This window comes from Homo sapiens, chromosome 1, assembly GCF_000001405.40.
Source record: "Homo sapiens chromosome 1, GRCh38.p14 Primary Assembly".
NCBI classification, from domain to species: Eukaryota; Metazoa; Chordata; class Mammalia; order Primates; family Hominidae; genus Homo; species Homo sapiens.
The window spans coordinates 87,932,779-87,944,824 of NC_000001.11; the positions used below are offsets into that span (position 1 = coordinate 87,932,779).

General features: G+C 38.3%; 1 annotated feature.

The window, feature by feature from the left end:
- Positions 8,276-8,972: an enhancer, noted in NCBI's record as "OCT4-NANOG hESC enhancer chr1:88406737-88407433 (GRCh37/hg19 assembly coordinates)". NCBI's record gives its function as "activates a minimal SCP1, AML or CMV promoter by ChIP-STARR-seq in primed H9 embryonic stem cells {active_cell/tissue: H9 hESC(primed)}" and the evidence as "EXISTENCE:reporter gene assay evidence [ECO:0000049][PMID:30033119]".

A 12,046-nucleotide genomic window follows, 5' to 3' on the forward strand; every position in this document is an offset into this window, starting at 1 on the left:
CCTCTGGGGCTTACCTTTGCTAGTTTCCCTCTGAGTTGAGGAAGTTAATCAGTGTTATGGACTGGACCTAGAGTTTATTCCTAAAATGACAAAGAGATGCAAAATTCTCAGCATTCAATATGTTGGAACCTATGAAGGACCACTAAGGAGCTGCTGGAATATTTATTGATTGTATTATTTTGTTGCATACACAAAACCACTGATTTTAAGATCTGTTTAAAAATAGTGGCACTCGATAATTTTGGCTAATTGATATCTTTAAGTTGATATAGCATGTTATTTGTTAACACAAATAATCCAAGCCAAAGCTTTGTTTATGGAATTCAAGTGAACATACTTTAGTCCCTATGAAGCCTGAAAAATAAAGACTATGAATATGTTATATTTTGCTTTTTAAGCAATATTTATCTATACTTTGTACACTACTTTTCTATTTATAAAGTGTTTTCACATTCATTTCTCGTGTGATTCTCATAACATTGCTAGGGATAGATATTAATGTCATCTTTGTTTTATGCACAAGATAATCAGAACCCAGAGAGGCACGTGCCACCCCTTGAGTACAATTCTTACATTGGTATTTGTATCATCCTCACAGTTAACAAAGAACTTGCCTATATTTTATCTCATGTGATCTGTGCAAACAGATCAGGCAGGTCTAACAGAGAATGCCCTCTGAAAGTCAACTAATTGCTATGTGGTTCAAGCTCCTTTTTTTGCTTTTTGAGACAAAATCTTGCTCTGTCGCCCAAGTTGGAGTGCAGCGGCGCAATCTCGGCTCACTGCAACCTCTGACTCCCGGGTTCAATCAATTCTCCTGCCTCAGCCTCCTGAGTAAGGCTTTAGACACCCACCCCCATTTCAACCCCAACAGTTCAGTTTGTGTCTGTTTTTTAAGTTGCATTTGGATATAGGGTTCCATTCATAAAGAATTTGCAGTTCTGTAATCTAGTCTAATTATCTCATTGAATCTCAGAGGAAAATGGCTCAAGGTTAACATTGAGGTTACAGGTGCATGCCACCATGCCCAGCTAATTTTTTATTTTTAGTAGAGATGGGATTTCACCACGTTGGCCTGGCTGGTCTCGAACTCCTGACCTCATGATCCGCTGCCTTGGCCTCCCAAACTGCTGGGATTACAGGCGTGAGCCACCATGCCTGGCCTCAAGCTCCTTTTATAAGGAATTTTGGGTGAAGTTTTGACTTTGTAAATCTGCATGGTCTATGAAATACAGCTAGTAAACTGAATCTGAGGACTGTGTTAACTTCAAGTCATTGTTCCATTTTTTAAAATTTTTTTATTTTTAGAAGATTTTATATATATATATATATATAAAATGTATACCCATACACATATGAAATCTCACAAAATTAAAGAACATCTGATACCACATGGAGAACTCTGAAATATATTTTGTTCAAAAGAAAGCAAATAAGATACAATATAACTTTCATTTACAGAGCTTCTTTCATGCTAATCATTGCCCCCAGAAGCTTTACAGATCAATATAATAGGAGGCAACAGCAGAAAGCATATGGTCCACTGTAAATTACTAAAAAAAAAAAAGAGTTCTAAAGACATTATATGATGAATAAATTAAAGTATTCAGTCATAAATCCAATAAAAAGGGGGAAATTAAGAAGTAGTGAATAGGAGAAAAGAAAGGGCTCAGAATTAGCTGTAAAATGAAATAAAGGATACAAGTGACAAATGTGTGTCTCCAAGGGGCAGCAGAAGAGAAAAGGGAGTGTAGGGGCCTTGAACTCCTTCGGTAAAGTCTCCAGGAGCCAGAGTGAAATATTGGCAAGAACAGGGCCCCGCAAGGAAAATAAATATTGGGTCACTGCCTAGGATCTAAAAGAAATAAGGTTAAACCTAATGAAAATCAGACATCAGCTCTAAAGAAAAATGTATAATACTCTGTTCTTTCTTTTTTCCGTTTTGATTGGTTTTGATAGGAACATGTGTTTATGGGAGGGCTCTAATCTATGCATGCAGATGTTTGTTTTCTTTTAAAACCCTGAGTTGTTGAGGAATAGAAATGGGAGAACACTGTGCTGGGAAATTTGCTTAAGCCAGGGCAAATTTTGTGGGATGTTAAATGTTGGCATGCAAATAAATGATATTCTTAACAGTATTTGTATGCTCTTTATATGTTTTGGAACCCAGAGATCCAGGATTTTGTCTCTGAGGCCCACAGATGAGGCAGGTGAGCCAAGAACATTTGTTAAGTCCTTTATTTCAACAATATTAGGAGGCTGGAGTACCAGTACCAAAGAAGAGTTTGTATAGGTAACTAGATCCAGGTTCCAGTGCTGGCTGCTACACCAAGAAGGCAGAGCAGATTAAGTACCAACAGTAGATGATTGTTGTGCTCATAATACACAATTCCTAATTTTGTAGTTTTAATTCATATACATTTGTCTATGGATTTTAGTAAAATTAGGAGCACTATTATGCTCATAATGTATGATGTAGAAAAAACATTAAAACTGAAGTCAACATGCAATATATGCATATGTACATAAACACAAATATGCATACCTACATACATACAGTGAGGATCACAGGGAGGCAAAAGGGACCTTCAATAGAGAAACACTGCCTTGCTAGAAGACGGAAAGGAGAAGGAGACCAGGAATGAGAATACAGCCCTCTGCATAGTTATGATTGATAGCTTCCAAAGTTGTTTTTCTATTTACTCATTCATTCGATCACTACACATTTATTGAACATAAGCCAAATATCAGGCACTGTGCATACAAAGTCGGCATACAAAGATGAATTAGGCACTGACACCATCTTTGGGCTACTTGGAATCTAGAGAAGTTATTTTCAAGCAAAAAACACTGAAAAGAGGAAAGGAAGTTTTTTTTTTTTAATGGTGTGATTGAAAGTGAAAAGGAGGTCAGCTCTAATGGAAAGTAGAAAAATAAAATGTGGGCCGGGCGCGGTGGCTCACGCCTGTAATCCCAACACTCTGGGAGGCCGAGGCCGGCGGATCACGAGGTCAGGAGATCGAGACCATCCTGGCTAACACGGTGAAACCCTGTCTCTACTAAAAATACAAAATAAAATATTAGCCAGGCATGGTGGCAGGCACCTGTAGTCCCAGCTATTCGGGAGGCTGAGGCAGTAGAATGGCGTGAACCCGGGAGGCGGAGCTTGCAGTGAGCAGAGATCGTGCCACTGCACTCCAGCCTGGGCGACAGAGCAAGACTCCGTCCCCCCTCCTCAAAAAAAAGAAAAAGAAGATGTGTTCAGAAGCATTCAAATGCAGGAAGAGACATCAACCACAATAGAAAATGAGTGTAGGGGTGCCAAGGATAGGCCTGCTACTGCTTTCAAATATGAAGAAGGTCAGATTTTCACAAAGTGAAATCAGCTCGCAGAAAAGGAAAGTTTTTCACCTTCCTTGCTCTGTAGCCTGGAGGGATAGGGCAACAGGGGACAAATGCTGTCCATTTCCCTTTTGTTCTAGCACTGAATGGAGTACCTCTTTTAGGGCAGATACTCGCTCTGTTTTGGTTCAACTGAAATGTCCACCCAGATCCCACTCTTGCTGGGTCAGAGCAGTAGGAAGCAATGGGTGGAGAGGGGAGGATTGGCAGCATTTTCCTGATGGCCACTAAAATTCTCCAGAGAGCCATCTTCTGTCACACACGCAGCATGCATCTATGCTTTGTCTTGTTGAGGTAAGAGAATAGTCTGATTTTTATAATCTAATATTTTTTTTGATGGGTTTCTTTGTTCTCTTCAGACCTTTTTTTTAGAGCATCTCTTAGTTAAATAAGAACTTATTTACACTACTGCTTATCAGTGCCCCTTTATATCCTCCATATTTGGTAGCTTATTTCCTTTTTCAGCCAAGATTACTTTAGAAACCATTATAATTCAGGTTAGAAGAAAAGCTATAAGGAAGGCCAGAAATAGAATAGATGGAAGAATATATTGACAAAAATAGTTGTCAAATTGCAGAGAAACAAGGAAGAGAATAAGGAAATATGAATAGTATTAAATTCATATTTAATTCACTTAAGGCAATGTATACTAACATCTATGCAAGAAAGAAAGAACATCAACCACAAATCAAATGCTTTTGAACATTTTCTCAGATAGTAGAAAATTATTTTGCCTTAAACTGTAACTATATTTTTTTCTCCAGAAATCTGAGTGAACAAGATGACATCGAAAATTAAAAAACAAACTAACAAAACAGGCTTTAGAGACAGCTCAATAGTTCTACTGTTTGCTCCTTAAGAAGTTTTCCAGAAGTGGTGTTTTGGTATTCATGGTTTCGGATGCTAACAAAAAGAAAAGACAAGAAAACAAAATGTGCGCTTGCCTTCACTTTCCCAGATTGAGGAAAACGGCTCTTCTTTTTTCTCCTTCATCAAATGCTTTTTTCACCTGCAGAGGTCTCTCTCTGGCTCTCTGCTCATTCTGCCAGCATATCTCCTAGGGCCATCTTCCTTCATTCATTCCAACAAGATCTTCATCTGTGCCAAACTCCACTGAGACATGTGGAAGCATTTTGGAAACAGGGTTTCTCTTGGGGTCTAAGTGCAGATCACCACAATATGAAACAAAACATTTGACTACCAAACTGATTTACAGCAAACAAACTATGAATTGCAAAGTCTCATGATCTTTAATCACATCACCACTTAGGCCTGATACCATTAACACATTGCTGTGAACTATGGCAAACCTTATGCCCAAACTGTAATGATGGTTCCAGAAAGAATTATCCTTTTGCTTGTTACACTTATATTGGATATCAGATTGTAAAAATGTCTGAGAGTCACCCACACTGTTCTGGAGGGCACAAATTAGAACGGGGCAGGGGGAAGTGCAGTGAGGAAGGAGAAAAACACAACCATCCAATATGATTTTCTCAGCAAAAGAGACAATATTTCCAATGTCTAGATGCCTATTTAATTATTCCACTTAAGTTCATTCTTAGAGGGGTCTTGTCAATAAAGTCAACCCAGGCTCTTGGTGTGTAACAGCGTTTTTGAGGGTCTTGAGAGCTTCATTAAAAGCAGACAGTTTCTCTAACCTTTTAGCAGAACCTGTTATCTGATGACGTGAATTAAAGTCTCTCAAATGACTAATAATCATATCAGGGCTGCCATGTCAGCTTGTAGATTTGAATAAGAGGGTCTGAAAACATTTGCATGCCTCAATGTGCCAGTGCTAAGAAGCTAATGTGATAGTGCTGTCATAAAGCACTGGAAAGACATGACTTAATGTAATCTGTCATGTCATATGCTAATCTTCAACCATTACTTGAGTGCTGTAAGTAAGTAGAAAGCATTTGGGAGAAATCCTTTCCAATTTCTCTGAGTACCACTTCTGCTGCTGGTCAGCTCAAATGGGTTTTGTGCATTTAATGCAGAGCTCAAGTCAAGTTGGTTTAGGTCACACTTAATTAACCAGCACACGAATGGGCTGGGCCATGAGAGCTCTATGGAAAATGGTTATTTCAGAGGCGGTCTAACAAGTAAATATTTCATATGCTGAAGGAAATGGGAAGAGGATACTTTCTTATTCCTTGATAAAGAATATGTTCTTTTCAGAGAAAACACTATGAATCTTAACAAGACATCATTTTGGTCTCTGCTTTCCTCCTTCTATATTTGAGTTGAGTTTATAGAAAGCAGATAATAAATAGTTAAAAACATCACTCTCACTTTGATACCAAGCACTCTATTCAGCAGATGTGGACTTATCACTCAAATAATAGAGACTGCTTTGACTCTAGGTCCATAGAAACAGAGGACAAGTAATCAAAGGGAGATATCCACTTGGCATGCTCTTTAACAAGATGACAGTGTCTCTTAATAGACAGTCATTAAGACAGGAGACTGGTGTCAGGGCTAAGTACAGTTTGTGAAATAGACAGTAACTGAGACTAGAGAGACTGACAAATTTTTGTCCAATTTTTCAGGAAAGTGTGCAAGGGATTGTGATTCAAAATATGAAGTTTATTTTTATCAGCCACACTGAGTCAAGTCAAAAAGATGCTTAAGAACTTGAAGAACTGCCTTCTGGAATAGGATTTTTGAGGATGCTGAGCAGATGGCATGAGATTGGCCCCAAAGATACTGCCTGAATTTCCCAGCATTCGTACAAGGCCCGCTATTGGTAACCCAAGGGAACTTTCATGCATGTGGGAACTGGCTTTTTATAGGTCTAATTAGAAAGCACAGGCAATTCCCACCTACAACATTAAAAAATGCTTCTGTGAAAGCATTTTTTTCTTGAAAAATGTGTGTAAAATTTACAGAAAAAATTATTATGAATCAAAATTGATAAAGATGTGGTCATATTTTCCTAACAGTTAAGATTGTGCTAACTTAGGGGCTATTTCACAGAAAAAGAATAAAAACCTTATTACAGAAGTGGTGTGTATGCACTACTTACAACTCTTCCAGAATATCATGACCATCGATCATGAGTTGATGGTTGCCTAGCATAGCTTCCTCTTCCTTTATGTCTGCTTATAAAATTGACATTTCAAAGAAGTTAAGGGTGAGGTTGATTCCTGGTGCTAGTGAAATGTGGCTCCTTATCTAGTTCTTTGCTTCTGACACAACCTAATCAGCAGGGGACCCTTCATCTGAATTTTTCAGCTCTCATTTAGCCTCGAAAACTGGTCACATGACTTTGTTTGGCTGGGTAGAAGTTGGTCTCATTGGCACCAGTTTCCAAGGCCCATCATCGTTTGGACTATCTTTTTTATAGAGCACTTTCAACTCAGTCCAAGCATCTTGCATTTGTACATGGCTTGCACTGGAAAAGTTCGTTATGATTATTAAAAGAACAAAGTAACACATTCCTAGGGTTTGAGGTCAATGGCTTCACCTTCCAAATGAGGGCAATAAAATGTCTTCCAAGTCCTCTGGGGACTTATCAGCTTGAGCTTAACATCACAAAAATCTGTATGACTAGGTCCCAGAAAATGATTCTTCCTAACAACATTTAGCCATTAGCCAAAGCAAGTTTTTTTGTTGTTTTGTTTTGTTTTTTTAAATATCTGTCTGCTCCTAGAGGACTATCCAAATAATCCGTCTGAGTTTCTTTCACCTAATTGCTGTAACTTCCTGATGGCCTCTCAAACTTTTGACTCCACTGACTTAAGTTATTCTCTACCTTGCTCTTTTTTTATTCACCTCTACAATGCTCACACTTTCTGGGGCTCATGATCACCCTTCCCATACCATTCTTTAACCTTCCTTCTTAAAAAGAAAAAGACTTTTCCTATCTCTTCTTCCCTATGATTTCTTAATCCATAACTTTGCCAAAGCAGTCTCACTCTGAGAAGCCTCAAACTACGTCCTTTTTCATCATTGAATTAATATTTTCTCAATTTGTCTGGGAAATATTCCCAGGTTAATCCAGCCAACTATTAATATTATCCCTGACCCTGTACTGAGCATTTTCATACCTTCATTCATTCAACACCTACTGTGTCACATGTTGTGCTAGACGGTGGAGATGGTGATGAAATGGGGAAAGAGTTCTTATTCTCATGTTCATTTTGTGTTAAATCTTATGAAAGCCATATAAATCATGTTGGCTGTATATTCTTCCAATTGACTTATGTTATGTTCCTTAAGGGTCCTGTTCAGGGAAGACTTGCTTGAGCAGGCCTACTATTTTATATGTAAACATATGTATGCTTTTGCTCCTTCTCTGTTTACTACCTTCCAAAGCAGCCTGCGCAGTTTTCTCGTGGAGGTGCTCATTTCAGTTCTGCAAGGACTTGCTGCCCTTTAAGCACCTATTGTGTAAATAGCACTGTGCAAAGCAGTACAGAAGACAAAAATGAATTATGACGCATGTCCCTGACATCAAGTGGTTTGTAGTCTTCAGTAGAAGTTAATACTTTATACATTAGACAATGGAATGACTCAAAGACAACATAAAGTGCCAAACTGAATATTATTTGTTTGGATCAGGAGGCATGGCAGAGCTGGAACATACACGTGAGAACTCCAGGTGGTAGGACAAATGAGGATTGGCTAGAATTTTTCAGAAAAAGTCTCACAGAATATTGATGAGAGACTACATAAAGTAGCCCATAAGTATTTACACATTTGTCATGAATTGAGTTCCATTATAGGAGATTAGGGAACCTTGAATGCACAGTATGGATCCTGGTGGGGTAGAAAGGGAACAACAGAAATCAGTAGGAAGATGAGATCCTTAATGTAAAGGGAGCAGAAGCAGGGAGAAAGCAAGGCAAAAAGCATGGGACCTCAGAACTCTGAGATAATATATCACACTAAAGTACTGTATTTACTACTCTATCACTAAGATCAAACCTCTTGCCATCAAAAATAAACCAAACTGTGATGCAAGTGGTGGAAGATCCTAGGGTACCTAATGCTGGCTCACCAACTAGGATTTTTAAATTAGGCCAGTACCATTCCCCTATTTTATGTATTGTTAAAATATAAATTTCTAAGAATTATTAACTTTCTATTGTCTTCCTTATTAAGATGCCTGTTTTATGGGTAGGCATAATATAGACTCAACCAGTTTCTGCTCTTCATTCTTAGTTGAGAAATTTGAGTTTTCCTGAATGCTCACTAGTAAAGGCAGTTCATTCATTTCTGAATCAAGTTTTTGCTTTTTAGAGGCCATAGTGCCTCTTCAGCCCCTCTTCAGCTTCCTGCTGCGTTTCTGTCCAAGAACTTAATTGTTAATGGCTCCCAGCTGTGTCACAAACTTCACTTCTTTAACCCTTTCCTTTCTGGCTGCCAATTTGTATCCTGTGCTTAAGATGTCAAGTCCTCACCTGTGCACTCTTGGTAGAGGTAAGGAGTTGATGGCTAGGTAGAAAGATTCAGGAAAGCACATATGAATTTTACTGTATCTAAAACTTTGTCATGTATACACTGCTACTCCAGTCTCTTAGGTTGAGGGGAATATGTCAACTTTCACACTGAACCTTGGACAGCAGCATCAAAAAAATCTCTTTTCTTGTTCCCATGTATTCTTGATTCATATTTATATATGTATGTATCAGCTGCCTCCTTAAGGCTGTAATTTATATTATCTGTACTTGATCCTTACTGGCAATTCTTCAGCTCCACCTCCACTTCTCTATCTTGCCTTGATGACCTATAATCTTTCATGAATTTCAGCTCAAACCCCCAATGACTCCTGATGTCAAACCTTATCCATGTCAGCATCTTAGCACCTGTGAAAATCATCCCAATTGTCTTTTAATTCCTGCCCCTACTCACTGATGGTTTACGTTACAAAGGTATACCTCAGGTAGCCGAGGCAGAATTGGTTTCATTCTTCATTCTGTGCTTTTTTGTCATGAGAAGTTTCTTTCTTTTCTCTGAGAAGTGCCAGGTATTAAGAGCCTACTACCTCTCTTTCTTGTTCTTCAAATTCCCCTAGAAACTTGTTTATTCTCTTCTGATTTCCTACTACTTCCAGTCTTCCAAGGCCTGCTGGGCCCCAGCTCTTTTTATTACTTCTGTTCCAAGTTCTCATTGCATCAGTCAACAAATTCCAGTGGCCCTGGCTGTCCTCACACACAGTGTGCTACTTTCACGTGTTACTCATGGCATGAACCTGGCCCTCAAGCCTTCAGCTTGCCAAGGCTCTTTTCCCTTCCCAATCTATTGCCCAATCCCTTACCACTCAGTGGTAAGCATCCTTAAGATTTTCTCCCTTAGAAATGACCTCAGTTAGCAGCTTAGGAGTCAGCTACTTGGATAATAACAAACTCCATATCTCTTCCTTATGGCTCTGTACACTCAACATTGCCTTCAGCTTCTTTGGTGACTAGAAAGGAGTACTTAGAAGATTCTTTAAATACTGAAGGAAGGATGGTACTAATATTTATTGTCTACTATTATTCCAGGCCTTGTACAAGCTTCATGACACTTAATTAACAATTTGTATATTAACTTAACCAATATTTATCACCTACAACAACTAGCATCTATTATTCCATTTCAAGCACTGAACTGTAGCACTTCATCATTTATTTTCTCGTTTTATCTTCATGTAGCCCTAAGGGGTAGACACTCTTAATATCTCCACTTTACAGAGAGGAAGTGAGGCACAGAGAAGGGGAGTAATTTTTCCAAGGTTACCCAGCTGGAGGAATTTAAGTGAAGGGAGCCTAACTCCAACAACCATGCTTTGAGGCAACAACCATGCTTTGAGGTAACAACCATGAATAGTCATTGTTCCTGTTCTCCTGGATTTTAAGCTTTAGCTGAAGGAGTGCACATTAAACAAATAGTTGTAGAATTATTTAATTACATCTGTGATAAGGGATCTAAAGACCAAGAATAGGTTTCCATTATAGTGTAGAATATGAGAACTTGACCTGATCTAGGAGTTTAGGAATATCTTTCTTCCTCAGGTGGTAACATTTACAGTGAAACCTAAAGGATGAGGGTGGTAGGACTGGAATTGTAATGAGATCTTTTCCACAGAAGAAATAGCAGTGTGCACAGGCTGCAAAAGGTAAGGTGTCTGAAGCCACAAAGAATTCAGTGAAGACCAGTATTGGCTAAATGTTTGCAACAGAAGGAGAAACAGTGGTATGAACTGAGACTGGAGAGATGGGTAGAGATTTCACCGTATGGGACCATTTTGGTGAAGACAAAGATTTTGGTCTATCTCAAATGCAATGAGAAATCATGAAAGGTTTTAAGGAGGAAAGGGACATAGATTTACTTTTTAAAATTGGCACTATAAGAATAAATTAAAGGCAGTTGGAAGCAGATACAGTGTTTCAATTAAAAAGACATTTTAATTGGCCGGTGACATTTTATTGTAATTCCTATCTTACAAAATGAGAAGAATATACAATTCAGAGAGGCTACATCACTAGCCTAAGTTCATATAGTTTGTGCCAAAGCCAGGATTTGAATCCAGTTCTGTCTGACACTGAAGGTAGTGTTACTTTCCACTGCACCAATCTTCTACTTTTGAGAATGACTTATGTTTCTCTACTCATAAAATTTAACATAAGGCTAGAGCTTAGGAGACCTACTTAAGAACACCCACCTGGTAATTAGCACACCACAAATTTTAGCACATGTCTTTGAGGCCAGATCTAGTACTCTGTCCACATTATGCTGCCTTTTGCCATTAGCCAACAACATGTTTCAAAATGATCCCTCTTTATCCTGAAAATGGAAACAGTGAAGTCTTAAATGGCATTACCATCATAAATATAATGTACAAAAATACCTGCCCAGTATACCTCACAGGATTGTTACAAGGTTGAGATAATATGCATTAAAACACTTCATAAAGTGCCAAGTACTATGCTTTACAGTAAAGCCAAGTAAGGCTTTACTGATGTTTGTTATATAGGAAACCAGAATGCTATGACAACTTGTCCAGTAGGAATGGGACCTCCACCTTGAATGTTGATATCAGTTAGTAAAAGATCTCACAGATTATAAAGTACCAGTGTTTTTCAAAGATTGTTGCACATCAGGAACAGGGCCAGGGAGGAGCAATTGATATCCCTGTTTCTACCATATCTTGTTTATTTCATGGTTATGCCTATTTGGAGTTCAATTGGATAACCTTCAATATAATTATTTGTTCTAGGGAAACCTGTGTGTCCCAGGGTGCTGACTGATGTGCATTATCAGAAACTTCTATTTTAGGAGACAAAGGCATTTTTTTAAACACATCTGAAGCTCTGAAGCTGTGAATATATCTTTGCAATTTAAATTCTCAAGGAGAATGAAACATGGGTACACAGACTCAAATCAATAGTCATCTTTCTTCCATTAGAGAATTTTTAGAGTCTTTCATAGGATTCCATTTCTTATTATTAGCCCACTCCTAAAGTTACTTTCGGTCTGACTTGGTATTTGTCAAACTGCAGATCATGACCTGTTGGTAGCCTATGAAATCAATTTAATGGTTATAGGCAGTATTTTAAAAAATGAAATAGAAGAAAGAGAAAGTATCCAAGTGGGTTGTATATTGCACAGGTATTACTTTAAGAAGCTTTTGTCCCAGCCATAAACACATGTGCTT